At 50.5% G+C, this 26,840-nt stretch overlaps 1 protein-coding gene across 42 annotated transcripts in view, besides 10 other annotated features; it reads right to left on the bottom strand.

Annotated features, from left to right (window-relative positions):
* GATAD2A (GATA zinc finger domain containing 2A) overlaps positions 1-26,840 on the bottom strand; it is a 123,090-nt gene that overhangs the window by 78,281 nt on the left and 17,969 nt on the right. For 9 of the 42 annotated variants that reach the window (XM_047439002.1, XM_047439006.1, NM_001384525.1 and 6 more), the window contains exon 1: positions 24,633-24,977. The exons of 23 other annotated variants lie outside the window; for them this stretch is intronic. The gene's annotated coding sequence lies outside the window, so the exon portion shown is untranslated. Of the gene's footprint in view, positions 1-2,659; positions 2,957-2,990; positions 15,791-24,632; positions 24,978-26,840 lie in introns of those variants that run through there. 10 more of the 42 variants (NM_001384514.1, NM_001384512.1, NM_001384523.1 and 7 more) reach the window with 3 other exon arrangements.
* Positions 2,077-2,580: an enhancer, noted in NCBI's record as "H3K4me1 hESC enhancer chr19:19538881-19539384 (GRCh37/hg19 assembly coordinates)". NCBI's record gives its function as "activates a minimal SCP1, AML or CMV promoter by ChIP-STARR-seq in naive H9 embryonic stem cells {active_cell/tissue: H9 hESC(naive)}" and the evidence as "EXISTENCE:reporter gene assay evidence [ECO:0000049][PMID:30033119]".
* Positions 9,731-9,790: an enhancer, noted in NCBI's record as "active region_14353". NCBI's record gives its function as "activates an Ori minimal core promoter by ATAC-STARR-seq in GM12878 lymphoblastoid cells {active_cell/tissue: GM12878}" and the evidence as "EXISTENCE:reporter gene assay evidence [ECO:0000049][PMID:35858748]".
* Positions 19,548-19,637: a silencer, noted in NCBI's record as "silent region_10443". NCBI's record gives its function as "represses an Ori minimal core promoter by ATAC-STARR-seq in GM12878 lymphoblastoid cells {active_cell/tissue: GM12878}" and the evidence as "EXISTENCE:reporter gene assay evidence [ECO:0000049][PMID:35858748]".
* Positions 19,748-19,857: an enhancer, noted in NCBI's record as "active region_14352". NCBI's record gives its function as "activates an Ori minimal core promoter by ATAC-STARR-seq in GM12878 lymphoblastoid cells {active_cell/tissue: GM12878}" and the evidence as "EXISTENCE:reporter gene assay evidence [ECO:0000049][PMID:35858748]".
* Positions 24,006-24,912: an enhancer, noted in NCBI's record as "H3K27ac-H3K4me1 hESC enhancer chr19:19516549-19517455 (GRCh37/hg19 assembly coordinates)". NCBI's record gives its function as "activates a minimal SCP1, AML or CMV promoter by ChIP-STARR-seq in naive H9 embryonic stem cells {active_cell/tissue: H9 hESC(naive)}" and the evidence as "EXISTENCE:reporter gene assay evidence [ECO:0000049][PMID:30033119]".
* Positions 24,006-25,821: a biological region, named in NCBI's record as "H3K27ac-H3K4me1 hESC enhancers GRCh37_chr19:19515640-19516548 and GRCh37_chr19:19516549-19517455".
* Positions 24,106-24,185: a silencer, noted in NCBI's record as "silent region_10442". NCBI's record gives its function as "represses an Ori minimal core promoter by ATAC-STARR-seq in GM12878 lymphoblastoid cells {active_cell/tissue: GM12878}" and the evidence as "EXISTENCE:reporter gene assay evidence [ECO:0000049][PMID:35858748]".
* Positions 24,746-25,295: a silencer, noted in NCBI's record as "silent region_10441". NCBI's record gives its function as "represses an Ori minimal core promoter by ATAC-STARR-seq in GM12878 lymphoblastoid cells {active_cell/tissue: GM12878}" and the evidence as "EXISTENCE:reporter gene assay evidence [ECO:0000049][PMID:35858748]".
* Positions 24,913-25,821: an enhancer, noted in NCBI's record as "H3K27ac-H3K4me1 hESC enhancer chr19:19515640-19516548 (GRCh37/hg19 assembly coordinates)". NCBI's record gives its function as "activates a minimal SCP1, AML or CMV promoter by ChIP-STARR-seq in primed H9 embryonic stem cells {active_cell/tissue: H9 hESC(primed)}" and the evidence as "EXISTENCE:reporter gene assay evidence [ECO:0000049][PMID:30033119]".
* Positions 25,416-25,475: an enhancer, noted in NCBI's record as "active region_14351". NCBI's record gives its function as "activates an Ori minimal core promoter by ATAC-STARR-seq in GM12878 lymphoblastoid cells {active_cell/tissue: GM12878}" and the evidence as "EXISTENCE:reporter gene assay evidence [ECO:0000049][PMID:35858748]".

Below are 26,840 nucleotides of genomic sequence, written 5' to 3'. Positions count from 1 at the left end.
CCCCTAGGAAGCCCCGTTGTCCCTTCCCTGGGCCCAGACCCACTGACCTATCACCATCTGTAGTCACCAAAAACTTGTGCTGTCTCTAGAATTTTTCAACTAGTTCTGCATCCAAACACAGCTTGGCTCCAGTCCAATCCTGGGAACATGACATGGCCAACAACATCCAAGGTGAAACCCAACAACACCGTTCACCTTCTCCCGCCCCTCTCCTAGGTCCTGCACAAACTGAATGCCCCCTTCACAGGGTCACCCAGACCCTCTTTGCTAATGGTCCCATCAAACTTTCAATGTGGGGAAGTCCCCAGCTCAATCTGGAAAGAAAAAACTGAAGCAAGGCAACAGCAGATCATCCTGAGGAAGCCCAGAAGTCAGGCTGGTCTACCATGCGCTGGCTGGCTGGCTGGAGAAGAATTAGCAGGGGCCACAGATCCAGTTTTCCAGTCTGGGGTCAGCACACTACTGCCTGCCACCTTAGTAAATAATGTATTTCTGGGAAACAGCCATGTCAGTACTCAAGAACACACTGTCTATGGCTGTTTCCACCTTTAACAACAGAGACCATAAGGCCCAAATCCCAATACTGAGATTTGAAGGGGGATCAGGAGGAAACTGCCCAATGAGCTACTCAGTAAAAAGACAGAGGTAGCCCTAGCCACAGCAGCAAGCTGCCGCCAAGAAGTCAGGGGAGAGGCACATTGAGGAGGTGTTCAGGTCGGTCCCTGAGCAGTCCCCGCTCTCCCCAAGGCACAGAGCCCCATCAACCCTCTGTGGGGAAGAGTATGACTTGGCAGACTAGAGATGCGGAGAATCAGCCCCGGGAGGACCAAGACCCAATCGTGAGGTTGGCCACACAAGCCCATCCTTGGCAACCAGAGCTGGCACTGGAGGCCGGAGTTCCCACCTCTGCTCTCAAACTGAGCTTCCCATTAGGGTGACAGCCAGTACATGTTGTAGGCCCCTGGTCTGCCCCTGCCTGTCTCCTCCCTCAGCCATGGGAACCACAGCCTCCTTGAAGGAGGAGACAGGCAGGGGCAGGCCGGCAGCCTAAGGCATGTACTGGCTGTCTTCCACTTCCACCATCTTCTACTCCCCATAATAAACCAGACGGCCCTCCTTAATTTCCCAGGTCCACCCAGCGTCAGAGCACCTCACCACGGCCTTCAAGGCCCGGCCCACTTCAGCCGCAAGTGCGCTACGTGCATGTGAAGGAGCATACACGTTCCATGCTCCCGCTCCAACCACCTGGCCTCCTTTCAATTCCTCAGACCCAGCACGCCTGCCTACTCCCCGTGCCAGACCTTTGCACGCACCGTTCCCATGGCCAGGAGAGCCCCTCCTAGCTCCCACCCATCCTTTGGGTTCAAGCACCTGTTACTCAGGCAAGCTCTCCCCCCCAGCCCCTCACCATGGACCACGATGCTGGAACTTTTTGCTGAAACTTGCTACTTGAAATCGAGCATCCCACTTCCCAAAGGCTCCATGCTCCATGGACACAAGGCGCTTGCGCATCACCTCATCTAACACCCACGTGGGCACGGAGGAGGAGACTACAAAATGGGGACCTCCACGAGTTGTCAGGACCCAACCAAGAGGTTTCTACCACCGGCTGGAGGCAAAAAAAAAAAAAAAAACATACAAATGCTGTCTTTAATTAAAATAGTTAATCAGTGCCAGGAAGAAGCCACATGGAGATAGGCAAGACTACAGCCATGGGCACGGCACAGCCCCTGGGGTGAGTCCAGAGCTTCGGGGCGCGGCCAATGTCCCCCTCCTGCCCCACCCCTGGCATGCTATTTGGGGAGCTGTGGGGACCCTGTGTCTGAAGGGCTTCCCTCAGGCCACCACTGAGAATTGAGAGTTGCCCCAGTGTCAGTGGTGCCCACACTCTGCACTCCCCGTATCCTTTCTTATGGCAGAGGCTGTGTCCCACCCTAAAACCCCATTCACAGTTCTCATGCGGGTCCAGAGCCCTGCCCTCTGGTAAGCTCAGACTCCAGCACCACACCCCTCTCGCTCCCTGGCACTCCAGGCCTCCCTCCAAACCATCCCAAATGCTCACGAGCTTCCTCCTAGCACATTCTGCCCAGCCTGGCTCACCTGGCAGTTAAACAGTGGGCCCAATGCCCTCCCGGGGAGCCTGCCTGCCTGCGTGGAACCTACCTCAGGCCTCCAGACCATCCTGAGAACCCAGTGACAGGCCCTGGCACCAGGCAGCTTCTCAAACAGAAGCAACTACTTCTTTCTTTTATTATTATGATTAATGTTGTTCCTCAAAACATTGCTACCTCTATCTGGATGCTCCTCTTATTGTTTCCACCCAGGCTCCCAGCAGCTGCCTGGGCAGTGCATGCAGCAGTCCTAAACTGCCTATCGACCCCAGATCTTAAGTGCCCAGAAACCAAATGTCTACGTGCAGATGACACTGAGGCCTTAGGAAGTGTCTGAAACATTTAAGTGTTTAGTATTTCAGATGCCTGATGTATTGCAGTATTAAAGGACACCAGAAGAAAATGTCACAAGAACAAAAGAGGAAATGACTTCTCTAATACTGAGGATCTAGGAACTGGTCTCGAAATAAAAATAAAATAAAAATACCAACACACTGCTGTATTAAAGGAAACTCACTGACAAACAGATATAGGAAAATAAAAAATACCTTCGAGGCTGGGTACGGTGGCTCACACCTGTAGTCCCAGCACTTTGAGAGGCTGAGGCAGGTGGATCATGAGGTCAGGAGATCGAGTCCATCCTGGCCAACATGGTAAAACCCTAAAAATACTAAAAATGTCCCTATTAAAAATACAAAAATTAGCTGGGTGTGGTGACGCACGCCTGTAGTCGCAGCTACTCAGCAGGCTGAGGCAGGAGAATCGCTTGAACCTGGGAGGCGGAGGCTGCAGTGAGCCAAGATCATACCACTGCACTCCAGCCTGGCGACAGAATAAGACTCCATCTAAAAAGAAAAAAAGAAAGAAAGAAAGAAATACCTTCAATCCCCAAGCAATGCACGGGAACAGAGACCTCAGATGTTCCTGGACACTGTTTCTCCCTAAATCCCCTAAAGATTGCAGGGGTCCTAGGATGACCCCACCTGTCCAGGGACTGAAGAAAACCCATAGAATATCCGCACTCTAACATTGTGATCCCAAGATGATGTCATTAAGAGCCTTCTAGAACCACGTGCATTTTTTTAACCCCACCCCCACCCCCAGTACTTAGCACAAGCTAGGAAATGAGTGTGTGTGCCTTTGTCCCTTTGTCCCCAAGCTAATTCTGAGAGGACAGAATACATGTTGTCATAAAGGTATAGAATATTTCTGAATTCAGAAAGGTTCATTTTTTTATTGTGGTAAAACGTACACAAAATTTACATCTTAACCATTTTGAGTTCACAGTTCAGTGGCATTAGGTGCAGTCACACTGTTGTGCAACCATCATCCATCCATCTCCAGAACTTACCATCTTCCCCAGCTGAAACTCTATCCCCATTAAATACTCACTCTCATCTCTCTGCCCCCAACCCCTGGCAACCCCCCTTCTTCCTTCTGTCTTTAAGAATTTGAGAGTCTAGGAACCTCATATAGGTGCAATCATAAGTGTGTCTTTTTGAGCCTGACTTCTCTTACTCAGCATAATGTCCTCAAGGCAGAGCCACACACATCACATGCCAAAGCGTGTACAGAAAAAAAGCACATGAGCCTGGTATACCCATGGTGCCAAACAAAGCATGGTTCTGAAACTCTGCTCCCCAGCTCAGCCATGCCACTGACATGCTTCACTACCAACTAGTCCTTCCCTCCGCTTCTCAAATAAGCCGCATAAAGAAAGCACTGGAGGCCGGGGGCAGTGGCTCACGCCTGTAATCCCAGCACTTTGGGAGGTTGAGGCGGGTGGATCGCTTGCGGCCAGAAGTTCGAGACCTGCCTGTGCAACATGGTGAAACCCCATCTCCATTAAAAATACAAAAAAAATTTGCCAGGGGTAGGGGTGTGTGCCTGTAGTCTCAGCTACTCGGGAGGCTGAGGCACAAGAATCACTGGAACCCAGGAGGCGGAGGCTGCAGTGAGCCAAGATCGCATCTCTGTATTCCAGCCTGGGCAAAAGAGCAAGATTCTATCTCAAAAAAATAAAAATTAAATTAAAAAGCACTGGAAACACATGGAATGGTGAGGTAACAGCAGCGGCCACACATTATGTCATAGATGGACAAGTCTGCCGGCCTGATCCCAGCTCTTAGCTGCAGAAGAACAGTACCTCCCGGGGACTCTAGCCTTGTCTCACAGCCATAAGCCAAGGAATGCTTGTTGTGTGAATGGAGATGACTAGCTCATCTTGGGTACAAACTTCTCCTCTAAGTTTGTGGAATAGAAGCCAGAGACATCCCAAATACACTTCCTGGAGCACCCAAGCTAGACACACGAAGACTTATATGGACCCACGGCTGGGTATGAGCCCTGAGCTCCCATCACATCTAACTCTAGACAAGGGAAACTCCAGACAACCCACCCATAGTGCCCCTACTAATTAACATCATTAAAAAGAAAACCACTATGTCTGCAGGGGCCAGGTGCAGTGGTTCATGCCTGTAATCCCAGCACTTTGGGAGGCCGAGGTGGATGGATTGCGTGAGCTTACAAGTTCGAGACCAGCCTGGACAACATAGCAAAACACCATCCCTACAAAAAATACAAAAATTAGCCAGGCGTGGCGGAGCACCTGTAGTCCCAGCTACGCTAGAGGCTGACATGGGAAGATGCCTTAAGCCCAGGAGGTGGAGGATGCAGTGAGCAGACACTGAGCCACTGCAGTCCAGCCTGGGCGACAGAGCCAGACCTTGTCTAAAAAAAAAAAAAGAAAAGAAAAGAAAAAGAAAACCACTATGTCCCCTGTCAAGTTCTGAGCTCCAAGCCTGCCTATAATCCCTTGGGCCCATGGGAGTTGCTGCACTGGGGAGCTGTCTGCCAGGCCGGTGTGTGGCTGAGTCCACAGATGCTGGGTGAAAAACAAAATGCCCAGTGACCCCGCCTGAGGTACCCAACTGGAACAAGAGAGCGGGCATTTCTTTGCCAATCATTTCAGATTGGAAATGTGCAAAGCATGCTAATTATGGCTTGGTCAAGTGCTCCTGAATAGAGTAAGGGGAAAGGGGGTAAACAACTATCTGGTGCTCCCACCTCATTCACCTCTAAACAGGCCATCTCCTTTGCACATGCACCTGTGTGACCTGTGACCACAAAGCACAGAGTCCTCTTGGGATGACTCTAATAAAGGGGAGGGGAGGGAACAGCCGAATGGCCAGGACCAGTCAAAATAAAAAAATTTGGGAGGATCCCAAAAGGCTCCATCTGGCAGAAGACACTGCCTCCATCATAGGAGAATGCACACAGAAGGTTCTAATGACAGCCAGCCTTGTCCCCAACAAATTGCCACCCAAATAGCCTCCCCACACTGCAATATTTCAACTAATTGTATTACCTTTACGGTCAGTGGCTGGGTTTTGTTCACTTAATGCCAAGAAATAAAACCTCCAGTTATTCTATTCTTATGGCAAGTTTTCTCAAGTTTGGGTTTTTTTTTTTTTTTTATTGTTGCACAGGCTAGTCTTGAACTCTTGGCCTCAAGCAATCCTCCTACTTTGGCCTCCAAAAGGGCTGGGATTATAGGTGTCAATGACTGCACCACACCTTTTTTATTTTTTGTAGAGATGGGATCTCACTATGTTGCCCAGGATGGTCTCAAACTCCTAGCTTCAAGTAATCATCCTGCCTCAGCCTCCCAAAGTGCTGGGATTACAGGCACAAGCCACCACACCCAGCTCAAGTTTGTTTTTCAAGCAGGAACAACACCTAACCTGTCATATGGGCAACCTCCTGGAAAGGTGAGGATGCTTCCTTCACCAATGCACAGCACAGTCGCTGCCTCTGAGGCCCCAGACCCCAACCACAGGTGTGTCACATGGTCAAAAGTAAAGCGCCAGGCCAGGCATGATGGCTCATGCCTGTAATCCCAGCATTTTGGGAGGCCGAGGCAGGAGGATCACTTGAGGCCAGGAGTTCGAGACCAGCCTGAGCAACAGAGAGAGACCCCCATCTCTACAAAAAATTTAAAAACTCAGTGGAGGTCAGGCGCAGTGTCTCACACCTGTAATCCCAGCGCTTTGGGAGGCTGAGGGGGGCAGACCTCTTGATCTCAGGAGTTCAAGACCAGCCTGGGCAAAATAGCAAAACTCCGTCTTTACAAAAAATACAAAAATTAGCTGGGCATGCTGGCTCATGCCTATGGTCACAGCTACTCAGGACGCTGAAGCAGGAGAATCACTTGAGCCTGGGAGGTGGAGGATACAGTGAGCCAATATCACGCCACTGCACTCTAGCCTGGACGACAGAGCAAGACCCTGTATCAAAAACAACAACAAAAACTTACAAAGCCACATGCAGTGGCTCATGCCTGTAATCCCAGCCCTTTGGGACGCTGAGGTGGGAGGATCACTTGAGCCCAAGAGTTTAAGACCAGCCCTAGAAAACAGTGAGACCCTGTTTCTATAAAAAATTTAAAAACTAGCTGGGTGTGGTGGTGCATACCTGTAGTCCCAAGTTACTCGGGAGGCTGAGGTGGAAGGATCACTTGAGCCCTGGAGTTTAAATGTTACAGTGACCCATGATCATGCAACTACACTCCAGCCAGGATGACAGAGCAAGACACTGTTTCTTAAAAGAAAAGAACATAAAGGTAGTTTCTAGGATACCATAGGGTCCACCTAGATCCGAATCCAGAGTGGCTGGGGAACAACTGGCCAAGCAGCAAGGTCAGTGCTGTCCACCCACAACCTTCCAGACACCTCCAAGTCCAGTTTAGGGCAAGTGGGAGGGCCTGGCAGACCTCAAGCCCCCACACTTCGCATTCATTCTGCCCACGCCATCCCCAACCCCCTCTACAACAAAGAATTCTAGAAATCCACCAAGCTTCCTTTGCTAAGAGGCAGAATTCAATTTCTCTGACCATCAGCTGCCAAATCAAACAGTCAATTCGGTAAATTCTCAGACTTGGCTGGAACCATCCACTAACCACGCCATGGCACCAATGGCCCTGGCTAAGGCCACGTGGTCAGCTCAGGGGGGCATTCAGCCCAGGATTCTCAGGGCCTTGCCCAAGAACCAGGCCAACAAGCTGGTTCTTAGTCCCAGAAGCTTCATCACTGCGGCAAACTGATGACGCACCACAGCCATCACAAAAATCATGTGATGACTGAAATGCTGCAAAGTATAAATGAAGAAACTATAACAATGGCAAAATCTATCAGCAAATCTCAGCCGCCACCGCATACGCCAATTAAGAGAGAAATAGGCCAAGTGTGGTGGCTCATGCCTGTAACCTCAGCACTTTGGGAGACAGACAGGAGGACTGCTTTGAGCCCAGGCGTTTGAGACCAGCCTAGGCAATACAATGGGACTCTGTCTCTACAAAATATTTTCAAATTAGCTGGGAGTGGTGGTGCGCACCTGCAATCCCAGCCACTCGGGAGGTTGAGGTGGGAAGATCACTTGAGTCCAGGAAGTCAAGGCTCCAGTGAGCCATTTTTGTGCCACTGCACGCCAGCCTGGATGACAGAACGAAATCCTAACTCAAAAACAAACAAAAGGCCGGGCGCAGTGGCTCACGCCTGTAATCCCAGCACTTCAGGAGGCCGAGGCGGGCAGATCATGAGTTCAGGAGATCGAGACCATCCTGGCTAAAACGGTGAAACCCTGTCTCTACTAAAAATACAAAAAATTAGCCGGGCGTGGTGGTGGGCGCCTGTAGTCCCAGCTACTTGGGAGGCTGAGGCAGAAGAGTGGCATGAACCCGGGAGGCGGAGCTTGCAGTGAGCCAAGATCGCGTCACTGCACTCCAGCCTGGGTGACAGAGCCAGACTCCATCTCAAAAAAAAAAAAACAACAAAAACAAAAAGAATAGAGAAATGCAAGGCTGTACACATACTCCACACCTCCTTGACAATGTATAGTATCAGACAATAAAAGTATGATTGGAAGATGCAAGAAGAGCAAGGGCTCCTCAGAGTGTTTCACAGAACTGTCAACTGTCCTCACCACTATCCCCAGCCCTTACAGGATAAACTGAGGCCAAGATGGAGGAAGCAATGCCTCCCTGAAGTCTTAGATGTCACAGAAGGGACACCGAGGCTTGGGGAAAGCAGGTGCCAGGTGGACGTGGGGCTCTGCCAGCTAGGAGGAGTTCTGCTTGTGTGGCCCAACAGCCAGCTTCCAGGGAGCAAGCAGAGAGAAAAACTGTGCTGGTGGGGGCTGGCACCTGGGGAACCCTGCTCCAAGAGGAGCCAGATAGCAAAGGCCAAACCGCCTGCCTCCTGCGGTGGGAAGCAAGCAATCCCAGAGCCTTGAAATATGCTTGCTGTTTCTGCCTCAAATGGCGTTTTCCTTGCTGGGAAGAGGCTTCAGTATGAAAATGCTGATATGTTATAAAGAACAATGTAAATTTCACTAGAATCACTGCCTAAAAATAAGAAGGTCTGGCTGGGTGCAGTGGCTCACGCCTGTAATCCCAGCACTTTGGGAGGCCAAGGAGGACAGATCACCTGAAGTTAGGAGTTCGAAATCAGCCTAGCCAACATGGTGAAACCCTAGTCTTTACCAAAAATACAAAAATTAGCTGGGCATGGTGGTGGGAGCCTGTAATCCCAGCTACGTGGGAGGCTGGGGCAGGAGAACTGCTTGAACCCAGGGGGTGGAGGTTGCAGTGAGCCAAGATTGCACCACTGCACACTCCCAGCCTGGGCAACAGAGTGAGACTCTGTCTCAAAAAAGAAGAAAAAAAAAAAAGAGAGAGAAGGTCTGAAGAAATCTGTCAGACTACACAGCCTTAGGCTAGGTCCTCAGCAGACTTTACCTGCATCACCCCCAGAGTAAGACGGGGCCCCACAAGAGGCTGAACTCTGCCACACAGAGCCCATGTCCAACACGGACTAGGATGTCTTTCTTCCCTCGCACACAGTAGAGTGGCTGCACACATCAGGCTTCATGTCAGCAGGCAGGCAAACAAACACAGGGCCGGGACACACTCCACCCTCCACAATTCTAAGCCGTTGGTCCTTGAGAACCCAGCCATCCAACCCAGAGAAGCGCGCTGCTCTCAGTGTGGTCAGGGTCCCAAGTCAACCACAAAGTGTCACTGAAGCACAGCGCTGCCTAGACAACCCAACCTACATGCAAGACATGCCCTGGGAAACTGGTATGGACAGGCGAAGGGACAGTACAGGCCAGAAGGGGTGAGGAGGGGCAGGGCCATAGGGGCAGGGGCGTTAGTTCACTCATCCATTCAACTGGCTTTCACTGGGCCAGCCTTCTCTTCCTCCAAGGAGGCCTACTGCCCTCACCTCCCTGGCCCTCCCTCCCTCTATCTCAAGCCACCTCAAGCAGATCCAGACCCTACCTAACCCCTATGCCAGCACTAACATGCAGCCAAGCCAGGCCCTGCTTGTCTCTGTCCCCAGAATGGGACTGCTCGTGCATCCTCACAGTCCAGGCCTCCCCCATTGTCCGTCGGGCATTGCTGAGGCAGGATGGGGAGGACCTGACCCTCAACGGAGAAAGTTACCGCTAGGCACCTGGATTCAAACTGCTAGAGAAAAGCGCACTTCTGAAAACTTTGGGGACACCAAGAGAATCATCTCTAATATGTTGACAAGAGGTTTTGTTACTGAAAGAGGAAACAGTGGCTAACAATTACTGAATTCTTTATTTGGTGCCAGGCAATGTGCCAACACGTTACATGCCTGATTTCATTTAATCCTCATAACCACAGAACGAGGTACTGTCATCATACCAACACTCATACGAGGGACTGTCATCATACCCACACTCACACGAGGGACTGTCATCGTACCCACACTTCACACGATGGAACCCACACTGTTATCAGCACTTCATGCAAGGGACTACCGCCGATATCCACACCTGACAGAAGAGAAAACCGAGGTTAAAAAAAGTCAAGATGGGGCTGGTCGCGGTGGCTCACACCTGTAATCCCAGCACTTTCGGAGGCCAAGGCGGGCGGATCACGAGGTCAGGAGATCGAGATCAGCCTGGCTAACACAGTGAAACCCCATCTCTACTAAAAATACCAAAAAAAAAAAAAATTGGCCAGGCGTGGTGGCGGGCGCCTGTAGTCCCAGCTACTTGGGAGGCTGAGGCAGGAGAATGGCGGGAACCTGGGAGGCAGAGCTTCCAGTGAGCCGAGATCGCGCCACTGCACTCCAGCCTGGGTGACAGAGCGAGACCCCGTATCAAAAAAAAAAAAAAAAAAGTCAAGATGGGCTGGGCGCGACGGCTCTCGCCTGTAATCCCAGCACTTTGGGAGGCCGAGGCGGGCGGATCACCTGAGGTCAGGAGTTCGAGACCAGCCTGGCCAACATGGTGAAACCCCGTCTCTACTTAAAAAAAAAAAAAAAAAAAAAAAACTAGCTGGATATAGTGGTGCGTGCCTATAATCCCAGCTACTCAGGGGGCTGAGACAGGAGAATCGCTTGAACCTGGGAAGTAGAGGTTGCAGTGAGCTGAGATCACACCACTGCACTCCAGCCTGGGTGACAGAGTGAGACTCTGTCTCAAAAAAAAAAAAAAAAAAAAAAAGTCAAGATGGTTGCCCAAGGTCACACACTTAATAAGTCAGATGGGAATCCAGACCCAGGTCAGCCACCTCCTAGGCCCAGGCTCAAACCTGAACCGCTGTACCATTGAGAACAATCTGATTGAGACGGTCCTAGGACTGGATCCTTCCCAAGGCTCTGGGAAAACTTCCTCTACCAAAGATGTAGGTAGGCATCATCCAGGGCGGTGACTTACACCTGTCTCAGCACTTTGGGAGGCCAAGGCAGGCGGATCACCTGAGGTCAGGAGTTCAAGACCAGCCTGGCCAACATGGCAAAACCCCATCTCTACTAAAATACAAAAATTAGCTGGGCATGGTGGCTTGTGCCTGTAATCCCAGCTATTCGAGCAGCTGAGGCACAACAATCACCTGAACCTGGGAGGCGGAGGCTGCAGTGAACTGAGATTGCACCACTGCACTCCAGCCTGGGTGACAGAACAAGACTCCATCTTAAAAAAAAAAAAAAAAAAAAAAAAGATGTAGAGATCATTACAGACCCAGGATTCCTCTATTCCTCTAAGTGCACGTTAACCTAACCCTCTACTGAATTGCTAGAAACTCCCAGGACTGAGCCCAGCTGTAGAAGGCATGGAAACCCTCAGAGTTCCATGGGCAGGAACAGCCACCTGGCCTCTGAGTCCCTGTCTGCCAGTGTACGAGATGCAGGAAGGGGCTGGAAGGATCGACAAATACTACCCGGCCTGGGTCATAAACTAGGACCAATTCTCATCTTCATTTTCATTGTGACACACATGCATGCCAACTACATGCTTAGGGCACCACAGGAGCAAGCCAGGGTCCCTCGACAGGGAGTGTGTGCAGACATCCCTTCCTCCTTCCACCGAGTGCTCACACATGTGAGGCAATGAGCAGAGCAGGCACAGACCAGGGGGAGGGGACGGGTTCCCTGGCCACTGAATTCAAGGATGGTGGAGGGTACAGGCCCTGAGAGACAGCCCAGGCCCAGCTAGGAGGCCTTTTGGAGTGGGCAGTAGCCAGAGTACATCCCAGCCCACTCCCACCTAACTCATCTGATACTTCACTTCCACCCCAAAATGACCCTGTTTGGGTCTTGGTGATTACTAGTCAGATACCAAGTCATTTTTACCCAAGTGGCAAATCCCCAGGGCTCTTTTCCTTCCGGCGACCACAACCCCTCCCCACTCTCAAAACCAGTGTCACAGCGGGACACCCACCTGTCTTCTCCCCCAAACTCTGCCAAAAGAGCTAGAATCTGAAAACATTTGAGCAGTGCATGAAACAAGGAAACTTCCTAAAACCAGCAAGCAGCAGCTGTTAGAATAATTCATGTGGTTGTTTCAGAGACGTGTCTTAATCGCTCTGGGTCTTTCTGGAAAAGTGTCCAAAACCTCAAGCTGGAAAATCCTCAGAAATCTAGAAAATGTGGGTTCCCAACCAGCTCCCAGGGCTCTGGGTTCACACTGAGCCTCTTCCCGATACCTCCAACTGCTACAAAGATCTTTCTCAGGCTAAGTCAAGTCTGTGTTCCTCGAACTTCCATCCATCTGCTGCTATTTCATTCATAGGAACAGAGCAGAACAAACTTTTCCAATGTATGGAGATGGTCCCTTGGATATTTCATTCTTTCAACTATTACTTGTCACACTTTCACCTAACACAAAGCACTACAGTTTGGAGAGGGGGACACACGAGGACGGATCAAATTCTACACCTGCCCCTGGAGCTGGCCAGTCAGATGGGGTCAGAGAGCCATGCTCTCTTCATTCATGAAGGTCCTGATGGTCACATGGGGCCTCCACACCTCACCCACTGCATCCTCGGCCATCACAGCTGACAATGACTGCCCAGGGCCAATACCCAGCTGTCCCAGAGCACCCTCCAGGACCTAGCTCACTACCCCTAAAACCAAAGATCCACAATCTGAGGGCCTATGTCACCCTCCAGTCGTCATTCAGCTGCCACTGCTACGACACCGCTCCTGCCCGCCCTTTAGCTGAGTGCCCCAGATGTCTGCATCATGACACCCTGCCCTGTTTCCCCCACGAGGCTCTAAGACCCCGGAAGGCAGGAATCTCCCTCACAACCAGACACCCCTGGGGCTCAGCACTGGTCGAGCAGGGAAGGCACTCCAACAGTTGTCAAACAGATGAACTGTCCTCAGCCCTTGGTATCCAGTTAATCCCTACCCAATCTTCCTGCAGTGTCTCTGGCACCTGTCCCTGCTTTTTATTCCGTCAGGCAAATCCAAGGCCATATTAGCTCATGCCTGCCTTTTATCAATGGCCTTTCTTCTGCCCAATTCAAGTCGATATTGTCATGCTCAGAAACCTCTGAGGGCTCTCCATATTTTGAGAGTGAAGTATGAACAGTCTCCTGTTTCAGGACATCAACAATAACCACAGCAACCTGTGCTTTCGCCCTTAGTTCCCAGTATGACTTTCCATAAATCCTGAGGTCCAGGAGGGTGAATGGCCAACTCCACCCCCCGCACCCAACACTCCTCTAGTGCAGCGTGCAGAGGAACCCCTTCTCCACAGGAGCTGTGGATACCCTGAGACTGAGAGAGCCAAGAAAAATCATCTCTCTTCTCAGAATAGTGGGTGGGGGGGTAATCAGATGCCCCATCTTTTTCAGCTTCTGCCATGTAGTAAGAATTCTAAGTGTGGAAGACACTGGAGTAAGATGAGGCTATTCTCAGCCTAAGGAGCTGGTCAAGGGCAGGGGCCACTTACCCACAAGGACGTCTGCACCCCTGTCACTCATCCCAGCCCACCAACTAAGAAGCTCTGCTTAGAGAATCCTACAGCCAGCAACACATCTCCTACACCAGTCACTTCACTGTGTGGTGATGCAAAGCCCAGCTGCATTTCATTCCACAGGGTATCTGCCGAAGCAGCTTAAGCTCTAAAATGTCAACGGATTAACTTTAAAAAATAAGTTTTAGGCCGGGCACGGTGGCTCACACCTGTAATCCCAGCACTTTGGGAGGCCGAGGCAGGCAGATTACCAGAGGTCAGAAGTTCGAGACCAGCCTGGCCAACATGGTGAAACCCTGTCTCTACTAAAAATACAAAAATTAGCCAGGCATGGTGGTGCATGCCTGTAATCCCAGCTACTTGGGAGGTTGAGGCAGGAGAATCGCTTGGACCCTGGAGACAAGGTTGCAGTGAGCCAAGATAGAGCCATTGCACTCTGGCCTGGGCAACAAGAGCGAAACTCCGCCTCAAAACAAAAAAAAAGTTTAAAAAAAAAAACAACCAAGAGTAGTTTACAAACTCAGAAGACTGGCTAAACAGCTCAAAACTACTCCAATTTTTCCAAGCAATTTAAGTATTCTTTTCCCTAATGCAATAAACCAAGGCAACAGAGTAGAGCAGCTCCCTTCATCTTAAACTTCATAGAAGGTGAGTGTAAGATTCTGAGCTGCTCACTCAATGCTGAGCTCCTTCCCCAGGTAGCCACTGTCCACTTCTGCTGCCTTTTGCAATAGGGTCACCTGATCTCATCTCTGGAAAGTAAGAGTAACCCCCTCTGTATTTCCCAAGGGAGTGAGCAAGCCTGCCTGGTGCCAGCATCAGGAAAGGCCTTCAGTCCAGTCTTGAGCCAAGATCCTGGGGCCTTCCGGAACCTGCCACCACCCCCACCCCAAATCATCTCTCATCTGAACAAAACATGTTCAATTTCCTTAACCAGGTCTCATCCAGCATCCTTGGCAGTGTTAAGGCCCTCGCTCTTGCCCGGGACTAACACAGTCAACCACTGGAGCCCAGTGCAGGACCTGATATTTAGTTGGCTCCTCCCATTTCCATGTGCTCCTTTTTTGTATCTTTAAATGGTCACCCACATATCACTTGAAGGATGTCTACAAATTAAGTGCAATTACATCTTATAATAGATGGGGACCTGTAATCCCAGTGCTTTAGGAGACTAAGGTGGGAGGATGGCTTAAGTCCAGGAGGTCGAGGCTATAGTGATTGTGATCATGAGCCTCTGCACTCTAGCCTGGGTGACAGAGCAAAACCATGTCTCTTGGGGGGGAAAAAAAACCATACAGGGAAAAGTAGTTTTATGCTCTTAAAATGTAAAGTCGGCCGGGCGTGGTGGCTCATGCCTGCAATTCCAACTTTGGGGGAGGCCAAGGTGGGTGGATCACGAGGTCAAGGGATCAAGACCATCCTGGCCAACATGGTGATACCCTGTCTCTACCAAAAATACAAAAATTAGCTAGGCGTGGTGGCATGTGCCTGTAGTCCCAGCTACTTGGGAGGCTGAGGCAGGAGAATTGCTTGAACCGAGGAAGCAGAAGTTGCAGTGAGCCAAGAACATGCCACTGCCCTCCAGCCTGGTGACAAAGTGAGACTGTCTCAAAAAAAAAAAAAAAAAAAATATTAGCCCGGCATGGTGGCGCACGCCTGTAATCGCAGCTACTTGGGAGGCTGGGGCAGGAGAATCGCTTGAATCTGGGAAGCGGAGGTTACAGTGAGCCAAGATTGTGCCACTGCATTCCAGCCTGGGCAACAGAGTGAGACTCCATCTCCAAAAAAAAAAAAGGCTGGGCGTGGTGGCTCACGTCTGTAATCCCAGGGCTTTGGGAGGCCAAAGCGGGCAGATCACCTGAAGTCGCGAGTTCAAGACCAGCCTGACCAACATGGAGAAGAAACCCTGTCTCTACTAAAAATACAAAATTAGCTGGGTATGGTGACACATGCCTGTAATCCCAGCTACTCGGGAAGCTGAGGCAGGTGAATTGTTTGAACCCAGGAGGCGGAGGTTGCAGTGAGCTGAGATCATGCCATTGCACTCTAGCCTGGGCAACAAGAGCAAAACTCCGTCTAAAAAACATAAAAAAAAAAAAAGTAAAGACATCACCTACTCAACACTACTACAGTTTTTTGGGGTTTTTTTGGGGGGAGGGGGGCGGGGGCAGGTCTCACTATGTTGTCCAGGCCAATCTCAAACTCCTAGCCTCAAGCAATCCTCCCACCTCAGCCTCCCAAAGAGCTAAGGTTACCTGAGCCACTACACTTGGCCACTATAGTTTTTTTTTAAGGCTGCCCTGAGAAACCAGAGGCAGCCCTAAGTTCTCCCTCCCCATGTCCTGCCCCATCCTCACCCTACAGACACCCAAAATGACCTCAGGACTCAAAAAAAAAAAAAAAAAAAAAAAGGGGGCAGGGTGTGGTGGCTCACACCTGTAATCCTAGCACTTTGGGAGGCCAAGGTGGGCAAATCACTTGAGGCCAGGAGTTCAAGACCAGCTTGGCCAACATGGTAAAACCCCATCTCTACAAAAAAAAAAAAAGAGCTGGGCGTGGTGGCGTGCGCCTGTAATCCCAGCTACTTGGGAGGATGAGGCACAAGAATCGCTTGAACCGTGATGCAGAGGTTGCAGTGAGCCGAGATTGCACCACTGCCCTCCAGACTGGACAATGGAGCAAGACTCTGTTTCAAAAAAAAAAAAAAAAAAAAAAAAAGACAAGGCCCTGAGGAAGGAAACTGACCAATGGACCTACATAAATAAAGTAAGAAGGAAGCTAAAACAAAATTCACCAAGCCACAAAGACATCAGTAAGAACAACAGAGATCTGAAAGTCTAATTCCAGGAGAAAACAGGGATATATCCTCATTCCTTCTGCAAGTCAACCTTGGGCAGGCCACTCCTCCTCCGCTTGAGCCTCAGTTTCCTGTTTGTGCCCAGTGTTGGGTTCAGCAGAGCACAGTACACAGAAGAAAGTCCCAGGTAGAATCCTCAGTTTGTCTGCTACCCAACTCCCAAAAATAGTTATATTTCTAATCCTATAACCTGACAGATACAAACTAACAATAAGACTGCAATTACATTTGAACCTATACTCAGTATATGTTAATATACTTGCCCAAGAAAACTTCAAAAGCAGACCAGGCAACTCCTACCACCAACATCTGAGGCTCCCACCCCCTCCCCAGACTTCGGCATCAGGAAATGTTGCTTGTACAGTCAGAAAAGAGACAACAACAAAAAGACTCAACACTAAAAACTTGACCAAAAGTTTGGGGAAGGGAGGCAGGAGACAGATGGCCCACATACAAACTACCGAGGTCAGTTCATCAAACGAACGTATTAATAAAAACATCAAACACAGCCAGGCACGGTGGTTTACACCTGTAATCCCAGTACTTTGGGAGGCCAAGGTGGGTGGATCATCTGAGGTCAGGAGTTCGAGACCAGCCTGACCAACATGACGAAACCCCATCTCTACTAAAAATACAAAAATTAGCCAGGCAAAGTTATGGGTGTCTGTAATCCTAACTACTCGGGAGGCTGAGGCAGGAGAATCGCTTGAACCCAGGAGGCGGAGGTTCAAGCAGTGAGCCGAGATTGCGCCACTGCACTCCAGCCTGAGCGACAGAGTGAGACTCCATCTCAAAAAAACAAAAACAAAAACACCAAACACACCAGCAAACTCTCCCTGGGTTAGAGTGGCTATAAGAGAACCCTAGGAAAGGAGCTGACTACAGAATCCTCTGAAAGAACCACCACTGAACGGGGTGGGCATGAACCCTCGGCAAACCCAGGGACACTACATGAGAAGACAGAAAATGAAGTTCAGGTGTTCCGTCAATGATACGCAAGTCCTGAGAACAGCACAGGTCTCGAGAGTGACGGAACCAATTCAATCGATGCCTTCAAACCAAGAATTCAGTTCACCACTCTCCTACTTTCTCCAGCCACACTTGAGCAACAAGGAAAAATGTTCCTCTGCGGATGTGAACGAAGGTGGTAGCAGCAGTTTTCAAAACTTGCTGGCAGAGTGAGCCTGTGCTAAACACACAAGAGAACTAAAAATCTGCTGTCACTACCACCAAATTCCACCAACTTGAAACCCCAGCAACAAGAAGACAGATGCTCCTCAACTTATGATGGGTTTATTAGAATGCAGCCCCACTGGGAGTAGAAAATATCAAATGCATTTAACACAGCCACTGGTCCCATTTTACAATTATTCGACTTAAAATTTCTCAACTTTACCATGGTACGAAAGGGATCTGTGTTCAGGAGAAACTGTTACAAATCAAAGGGAGCTCCTCGACTTACAATGGGGTTACCTCTGATAAACCCAACATAAAGTTGAAAAATTTTAAGTCAATCCATCGTAAATTGGAGGCCTACTTTACTGGCCTAAAACCTGCCCACCTCCGAGGTCAGGGCAAGCAGCCGTCTCTAAGGTAAGAATGTGTTGAGTATAGATTCACAGCCACTGACTCAAAGGTTAATTGCACAGAATGGCTGTGACTGGAGAAAATGTTAAGTTGGTATTATTTGTAGAGTTAGGGCCACAGGGTTTTTCACATCCCTTCCAGATAATCTGATCAGACCTTTTTTATCCCCCCCGCAGACAGAGTCTCACTCTGTCGCCCAGGCTGGAGTGCAATGGCATGATCTCCTCTCACTGCAGCTTCAACCTCCCAGGCTCAACCGATCCTCCCATCTCAGCCTCGCAAGTAGCAGGGCCTACAGATGCATGCCACCACACCTGGCTAATTTTTTTTTTTTTAAGAGATGGGGAATCGGCCGGGCACGGTGGCTCACGCCTGTAATGCCAGCACTTTGGGAGGCCGAGGCAGGTGGATCACAAGGTCAAGAAATCAAGACCATCCTGGCCAACATGGTGAAACCCCGTCTCTACTAAATATACAAAAAATTAGCCGGGTGTGGTGGCGGGCACCTGTAGTCCCAGCTACTTGGGAGGCTGAGGCAGGAGAATGGCATGAACCCCGGAGGCGGAGCTTGCAGTGAGCTGAGATCGCGTCACTGCACTCCAGCCTGGCTGACAGAGCAAGACTCCGTCTCAACAAAAAAATTAAAAAAAAAATTAAAAATTAAAAAAAAAGAGAGAGAAAAAAAAGCGGCCTGAGACAGCCCACCAAAAAAAAAAGAGAGAGAGAGAGAGAGAGATGGGGGATTGCTACATTGCCCAGGCGGGTCTCGAACTACTGGGCTCAAACAATCAGCCTGCCTTAGGCTCCCAAAGTGCTAGGATTACAGACGTGAGCTGCCGCGCCCGGCCTTGACCTGACTCTTAGGCCTCCAAATTGTTAGCTTGCAGTAGGATTCTGTTATAAAGAAAACCAAGCTCCTCAATCTGAGTGTTACATTATATGTGATAACTGAGATATGAGGTGTTCAAGAATCACTGTGTAGTTGACATCTGGGGGGAGAAAGCTTTTTGGCTCTGAGGTAAATGGAGAGGCAAAGGCTGGAATACCCCTGACTGCCTGTAGACACTTTCCACTTGTCCTCACAGCATCCTGTTAGGTCAAAGATGCTGTCTCCGCCAACATAAGAGAAAGCTGAGGCCAGGTGATCAGGTGACCCACCCAACGCTGAAGAGTGGTAAACTGCATATCGTCAGTGACAAAGCCAGATCTGTCCAACTCCAAGCTGGCTGGAGAGCTGTCAGTCTGAAAGGCAAGTCCAGGAGGATGAGATTCACCCTGGCGCTCCCAGACACCACTGCAAGTACCATCAAACCACCTACTTCCAGCCTCCACCCAGAGTCCACTCAGTGACAGGGACCCCTCTCAGTTCTCTAAGGAAGGCTCCCATGACAGATCTGCCCGGCAAACAGCTTCCCATCTCACAGATGGAAGTCCGGATGCTGGCTTCCACAAGCCCTGGGCCAGGAAAGAGGCTGCCTCCTGGCTTGGGGCACAACCAACCCAGGCATTCAGTATCGTCAAGAAGGCCCCAAGGCAGTGGAAAAAATAGACAACGTCTGAAATCAGAAAGGCTGGGTTGGGTCCCAGCCGCCGAATAATGAGCAAGGTGACTATGGCAAGTATCACCTCCTGTGGGGAACTTTGCCTTCTTCACAGGAACATGGAGAGAGGGGAATAGGCTGGGGCACAAAGCTGAGGCATGCGCCCCAGTGTGGCTCCAAAGGGGGCATGCAGACAGTGACAGTTTGCCATGAGGGTGGTGTCATCCCCCACAGAAGAGGTGGGGCAGTTGTTAATGCTTGTGAACTCTGGCTCATCTGTTACAGTCATAACAGTACTCACTGAACTGCAACATGTGGAACACACAGGCACTGGGGTCGATCATTTGCACTTGTTATCTCACTCCCAACACAGCCTTCCACGGGAGATAGTAAGTACCCCCTTGACAGAAATGGGAAACAGGGGTGATGTTCAACAAGGTCTTTCGCTAGGAAGTGGCTGGGCAGAGCTCACACCAGGCTGTCTTGAGGCAAAGCCAGGGCTGTCCTGGATGCCACTAGAGACAGGCTGCTCAGCAATAGGCACACGGCCACACTTGGCAAAAAGCAGGTGCCCCCTAGACTCAAAGTGGCCTCCTTGGCACAGGAGGAGCTGCTGTGCCACCATAATGCAGCAGTATTTTTAAAGTGTGTGCTCGAAGGCACCACCTTATTTAGGCTACGTTTCAAGGTTCAAACCAGAATATCTAACCGGCAAGGCAGGCCACGCAGCGCCAGGTCCTGAGACGGAACTGCAGGAGGAATAGCTGAGGGATTCTTCAACAAATCCTTCAAACAAGTGGAATTTCTCCCCAATCCTGTACCACATGGCCACACCCCTCCCCACAGGCATAGCTACTATCTTTGAGGCCAAGCAGCAGGAAAGCCCTGAAGCCTTGACCACTCCACCCACCACCCCCATCCCCCACCCCCTGCCCCAAGAACTCCCACTTTGACTTGCTGGGAGCCCTCCTTTAGAGTACTGCTCATCTCCTGCCAGCAAATCCTATCTCAGAAGCTAGCCTCCAGCATCCTCGGAAATTGCAGGTCTTCAGCCCTTCCATATAAGGAACCCTAAAATCAGGAATCAGACAGAAAGGCAAGTTCCCTGACAAACTCACCTGTGAAGGTGCCTCTGGAGGCTGAGGAGAGACAAAGGGGGTACAGCGTACAGAGGAGCTGCAAGGGGCCCTGGCAACTGTGCAAACTGGTGCAAACGTGTGACATTCTCACTGAGGGCCCCTCTCTCCCACACCTAGAGGGTTTCGTGGATTCCCAATCACTTCCTGAGGCTACCTAAAGGTATTCTATTAGGGTAAATTCCTTTGTCTTCTAAAAGACTAACCTACATTTCCATCAGACAAAAAGAGGTCACAAATATAGTCTGGAAAGCACAAGGTGGGGGAGGGGCAAGAAGCCAACGGTCTGACACTCTCTTGACAAAAAAGTCCCAGATCCTGTTTGCGGGGATGCTGGGGAACCCATGCTCGAGCGGGATCTGTCCCCAGTGGTACCTTTGTTTCTGACAGTACGGGTCTCACTATTTCCACCTCGCTGCAACCACCAACCACTTCAAGATCCGTCTTTTTTTATCTCAACCTTCTTATTTTTAATACACTGCCTTCCTAATTCCATTCAAAGACATACCTTTGCACAGTTAGCACTTAAGTCCTGTTAACCTGGAAGACCCACAGTCTGAGGCCAGACTGTGGAAAGCTACCTCCCGAAGCAGCTCAGATAACTCAAAAGCATCCATTCTAACAAACGACCACACTTAGCAGGCAGCATAGTTCTGTATGCCTCAAACTATGACATTGCCAACTTGTTCTTCTGGTTCTGCCACACTTCCCAACCAGACAAGGGTTAGGAGGAAATCCCAGGGATGCTCTATTACCCCAGGACAGCTGCTCGAGAAGACTTCACCCACTCACCTATTTCATAATCTTCCTAGTTTTCTACAACCAGCATAAATTAACTCAATTATGGGGGGGAAAGGTCTAGAGAAAATAGCCCTGCCTGTTCCATTTGATGGCACAGAAACACCCCGAGTCCAAGCAGGTAGTTCTCCAGAAAAGCATCTGAGCTGCCCAGGCTTTGAGGTGTCAGTACATGCTAATGATGGTCCTTAAACAAATTCAGTGGTAAGGGCCATTACATTTTTGTCTCTGTTGGGAATTCATATATCCAAAACTCTGCTGGTCATTCTTAATTTTCTTCCAAGAGAACAAACACCAAAAAAAAAAAAAAAAAAAGCCAACATTTCAAGAATGGCTTTACAACTTTACCAGCCACATTCTTCAGAGGCATCCTTTAGTCATCTGCTAAGACCCAAAGAGGTCCCGGCTGTGAGCCTCACTGCACCAGCCCTTGCCTTAATCCCCTTCAAGAGGGTCCCCCTTCTTGTTCTCTGACCCCAGTAGGAGAAAGGTCCTTTCGGGCTCACCAGGTCACAGTGTCCTTCTCTCCTTGATCCCTGTAAGTTTCCCCATGTTTATAAGATTAATTACGACTCCTGGCCCACTAATCTCACTATAAACTCTACTGAGGAGGGATTCCTCGCAGTGTCGAAGGCACAGTATGCACTCTGATATTTGTTGAATATATCAATCTAGAAATCACTACCTGCAATGCCAGAAATTCAGAAAATAAATGATGCAAAACAAGTCAGAGGAGCTACTGAAGAGTTGAAAATTAGAGTATTTAAAACATGTTTCCTCATTAAAAACATACACACACACGCAAAATACAGAGACACTAAAAAGTTTTCTAAAAAAGAAAAACTATTGCTAATCCTAATGTAGAGACCTTTATTGACATTCTGGTACAAATCCTTCCAGGATTTTTTCCTACCGAAAGTAGCATTATATTTTTCCCTCACTATCAAAATATAAGATTATAGGATTTGCCAAATGATACTGCATTAATAGAGATGACTTGACATTTTAAAAAATGATGTCATCTGAGTGGAAATAACAATGCATCCGCCAGGCGTGGTGGCTCACGCCTGTAATCCCAGCACTTTGGGAGGCTGAGGTGGGCAGATCACGAGGTCAGGAGTTCGAGACCAGCCTGGCCAGCATGGTGAAACCCCGTCTCTACTAAAAATACAAAACTTAGCCGGGCATGGTAGTCCCAACTACTCGGGAGGCTGAGGCAGGAGAATTGCTTGAACCTGAGAGGCGGAAGTTGCAGTGAACCAAGATCGTGCCACTCCAGACTGGATGACAGAGCGAGACTCCGTCTCAAAAAAACAAACAAACAAACAAAACACACTGCATCCAAATCTTTCCATTCTCTATAGCCCTTCCAAGATGAGAAGCAATCTTCATAAAAACCAGCTTCGGAATTTTATGAGACAAATAAGAACTGAAAGATGAAGGAGGGGAGGGAATAAGTGAAGACAGAGGATACAGAAAATCCCTTGCAAATTTCCCACATCCTATAAACTGTTTCCTCTAGAAAAGGGCCAACTTTTCTGAGTCCAAAGCTGAAGAAGCGAATGCAAAGTAGCAACTAACTCTGTAGTTCAGTTCCTTAAAATCCAGCTGGTAACGCTGCTCCACTAGAACAAAGCAGGGCTAGCATGGTGTCCCCATGTCACCAGATTATCCCCTACATCCGCAAACAGAGGTGCCCTGGATCCTGGACAAGAAAATGGCCTTGTATTTTAGAAGCGCCAGGGAAATGCTCACTAGGGTTCGCAAACTGCAGCATTTGTGGGCTCTAGAGCACCAAGTACGGGCTGCCTGGCTCTGCCTCACTACTAAGAGGCCTTGAGCAAGCCGCCTGGCCTCCAGCAGCCCCAATTTCCTGACCTGTAAAGCGCAGATAATACTTCCCTACTCCCCACGGGATTGTTATAGGCACTGAATATGTCTGTGCAGGGGAGCTTAGCACACAGTAGGCACTCAAACCCGAGGGCTAGTATGAGCTATCAGCCCTCCACAGCTTGTGGTCAGGTCTGACAAACTACTGCTTAGCATATGTTAACAAACTGGTGCCAACAAACATTATTTCATGTAATCTAGTTTAAAAGAAAACTTGTAACGACTACCAGAAGAGTTAAGTCAGTCAACAGGACTACAGTCCAAGACTGAGACACCCGCACAGAGGGCTCTCAGTTTCTGTGCTGCCACAGCCAGGAGGTGTCACTGTGTGAATGGGCACACAGAACCAGAGATGTAACCAGCACTATGTACTCCAAGAAAACTGAAAGAAGTAAACTGGTAGGAAGAAAGAAAATTAAAGGCTCAAGTGACTCACTCGGACTTTGATCTAAAGAATCCACAGCTCTTAAGATAAGGATGAACTATACACCTAAAGACGTTAAGTCAGACCTACAAAATTTTGCCCTGTGCAAAATTCTCAGGGCAGAAACACGCACCTAAGGGTTGTCATTCACTTCCTAAGGGAGGGGTCACCATTCATTTCTGGGTCCCAGTGTGCGCACAATCCAAGTGTCCGTCAGGCTCTCAGCCTGGGCCCTGCCCATAAGCCTTTCCTTGTTGAAGTGATCAATTCCGATTCTTGGCAATAATCCCTTTAAAAGGCCAGCTGCTGCTGTCTAGTCACTGATGCCGACCCACTCTAGGTGGGAAAAAAGAAATCAATGGAGCCACCGCCTAGATGGGGAGGCAAATTTAAAGTGTCGGGCCTTGAGAAAGGCCGGAGATCAGAGAGGGGAAAGGGTCCCGCGGCTCCCGGGGGTTAGGCAGGAAGGGCGCGAGCTGGGGGAGGGCCGGCCCTCCAGGCGTGGGCGCGCGGGGACTCTTATTCTGACACGGGATCCGCCGCCGCCGCCGCCGCCGCCGCCGCGGGGTTCAGCGTTGCTGCCCAACCCGCCCCGGACCCCCGCCCCTGAGCGGGACCCCCGCCCCGCGCGCCCACGTGCCGTCTTCCCGCCGCCTCCACCCGTCCCGACCACTCGGAAGAGGCGCCTCGCGGCCCAGCCCTTCCCCCGACCCCGCAGGAAGCGCAGGACGGAAGCGGGGCGACGCCGCGACTTTCCGGGACCCCCGCCCGGCCCCCACGTGCCCGGGCCGCCTCGGGGCAAGGAACTTTCCAGGGCAGCGCAAGAAGACGCTCCCAGAATACAAGGAGTAGAACTCGCTCGCTCTCACTTTTCCACGCTCATGCAGGGGTCCTTCAGAGCCCCCCGAGGCCCCGACCCTGCGCGGCCCGCGCCGCTCCAGTCTCAGCCGTGCGTCCCCAGCCCCCGCCCCCCGCCAAGTTTGGTCCAGAACTTACCGGGCCGCGGGTCGGCCGGGCCCTAGGGCAGCGCGCAGGTTACGGGGGCTGCTGGTCCGGGGTCGCCCGCGGGGCCGGGCGGCGGAGGGGCCGGGGACGCCGGGCCGCGCGCGCTCGTTCCGCCTGTGGGGCCGCCCGGGCCCGCGGCGCTCGCTGCGCCGGTCCGCCCGCCCGCCCGCGCCGCCGGCCAGATAATGCGCCCCTCGGCCGCACACATGGAGCCCGGCGCCGGCGTCACCGCCCGGGACATGCGCACCAGGTCAGCGCGCCCGGCCCGCGGCCCCCAAAACACCGGGGAGCTCTTAAAGGCGACGCCGCCCGCCCGCGCCCGGCTGGGCGGGGCGTGGCGACCGAGGGGCGGGGCCTGACGAGAAGGGAGGAGCTCGTGGGCGGGGTTCCAGGCGTAGAAGGCGGGCCCCTGAGTTGAGGGGGCGGGGCCGGACGGTACCGCCCCGGAAGCACCGCCCCTCTCCGGCGCGCTCCCACGCGACACCTCGTTGGGCGCGCTGGTTTCCCACGCGGGCTCCGGCTGGCTCCCTCCCCGCCGAGTCCCAGCGCCCTCCGCAGGCCGAAGGGTCGTGGCCAACTCACCGGCGGCAAAGCCGGGCGGGCCGCACCCAAGGCTGACTCACGACGCGCTCACTGCTGACCTCGCGCCAGCTGAGCTGGGCGACCTCAAGCAACTCAGGGTTGCCTCTGAAACGCGGGTTAGAATGTCACCCCCGCGGGGTCGTCACGCGGAAGCTCTTCTCTGGGAACTTCGGCCCCGGTGTCTGTGGGGAGGGCGGGGTGTGGATCGGCTGAACGATCACTTCTCCAGTGCAGTGAACAGAATTCTACAAAGAAAGCTCCAGACCCACCCACCTCAAGACACTTGGGGACGACTGCTCTCCCTCTCCAGTTACCTCCCAATCTGCCCTCGTGCCTCAGGGAGAAGGTGAAAACCCCTCAAGAAAGCAAATCTGCACCCCTCCCTCTCCAGTAACAAGGAGGAAACACAGGAGACAGAATGAAAGCCTGAAAGAGAATGGACTTTGGAGATGTTAAACTACATAAAGCGAAATACAATTTCAATAGGGAAAATATCAAGTTCATGGAAAATCTACCACAAGAAGGCTCTCAATACCAAAATCAGGTTCTGAGGAATCCCCAAAACCGCCTCTTTTCATGTTGTTTTAAAACAAACGATTCCTGATGAGACACCTAGACTCCTGAAGAGTGGTGGTGACATGCTTTATCGCATACCCTAATAAATCTATATGTACAACTGAAACAAAAGTTTCACCAAACATAAATTTACCACATGCAACGTACTGTTTTCTTTTTTCTTTTTTTTGGAGACAGAGTCTTGCTCTGTCGCCAGGCTGGAGTGGTGCAGTGGCGCTATCTCGGCTCACTGCAACCTCCACTTCCCAGGTTCACGGATTCCCCTGCCTCAGCCTCCCCAGTAGCTGGGATTACAGGCGCGTTCCATCACACCCGGCAATTTTTTTTTTGTATTTTAGTAGAGACGGGGTTTCACCATCTTGGCCAGGATGGTCTCCATCTCCTGATGTCGTGATCTGTTCGCATCGGCCTCCCAAAATGCTGGGATTACAGGCATAAGCCACTGCACCCAGCCTGTACTGTTATTTCTATTCTACTTCATTTGAAAAGAAAATCAATGTAACGCCCAAGAATAATTGGGTCTCAACCGCAAACCTGAAAAACACTTCATGTAGAACAAATTTTACAAAATTGTTTTTCTAAAAAAAAAAAAAATTGTTTTTCTGCTGTATGTCCCCTTAAACAGAGTTCAAAAAAGCTCCTAATTCTGTGTTGAGTTCTACATACAATTGTCAACTTTTTGTAGTTTATTCCACCCCGCCACCTCACACCTCCCCAAACACACCGCCCTGCCCCCCAAAATCTTCCCACTACTTAATGCAACATCTGGCACAACCTCCCCTAGGCCAAAAGAGAATTCAACCTAAAAATGATACAAAATACAAACTGTTGACTCCCAATCACTTTCCCTGACCCAGTTATGTCACCAATTTGCTTTGCTTTGCTACAAAGAAATTCAAATGTTCAAATTCAGAAACCAAACAAACAAAACAGTCTTATTCTCAAACAGGTGACTCGGTATAGGAATTCAAAGAGCTCCCTGATCCCAAGCGCAAGGTTGGTTTAGGGCAACCATCCAGGTTTTTCACCCTAACATGGTGG

Source organism: Homo sapiens, chromosome 19 (assembly GCF_000001405.40).
Source record: "Homo sapiens chromosome 19, GRCh38.p14 Primary Assembly".
NCBI classification, from domain to species: domain Eukaryota; kingdom Metazoa; phylum Chordata; class Mammalia; order Primates; family Hominidae; genus Homo; species Homo sapiens.
Note: the sequence above shows the minus strand (reverse complement) of the source record. Positions and strands in the feature narration are given on the sequence as shown.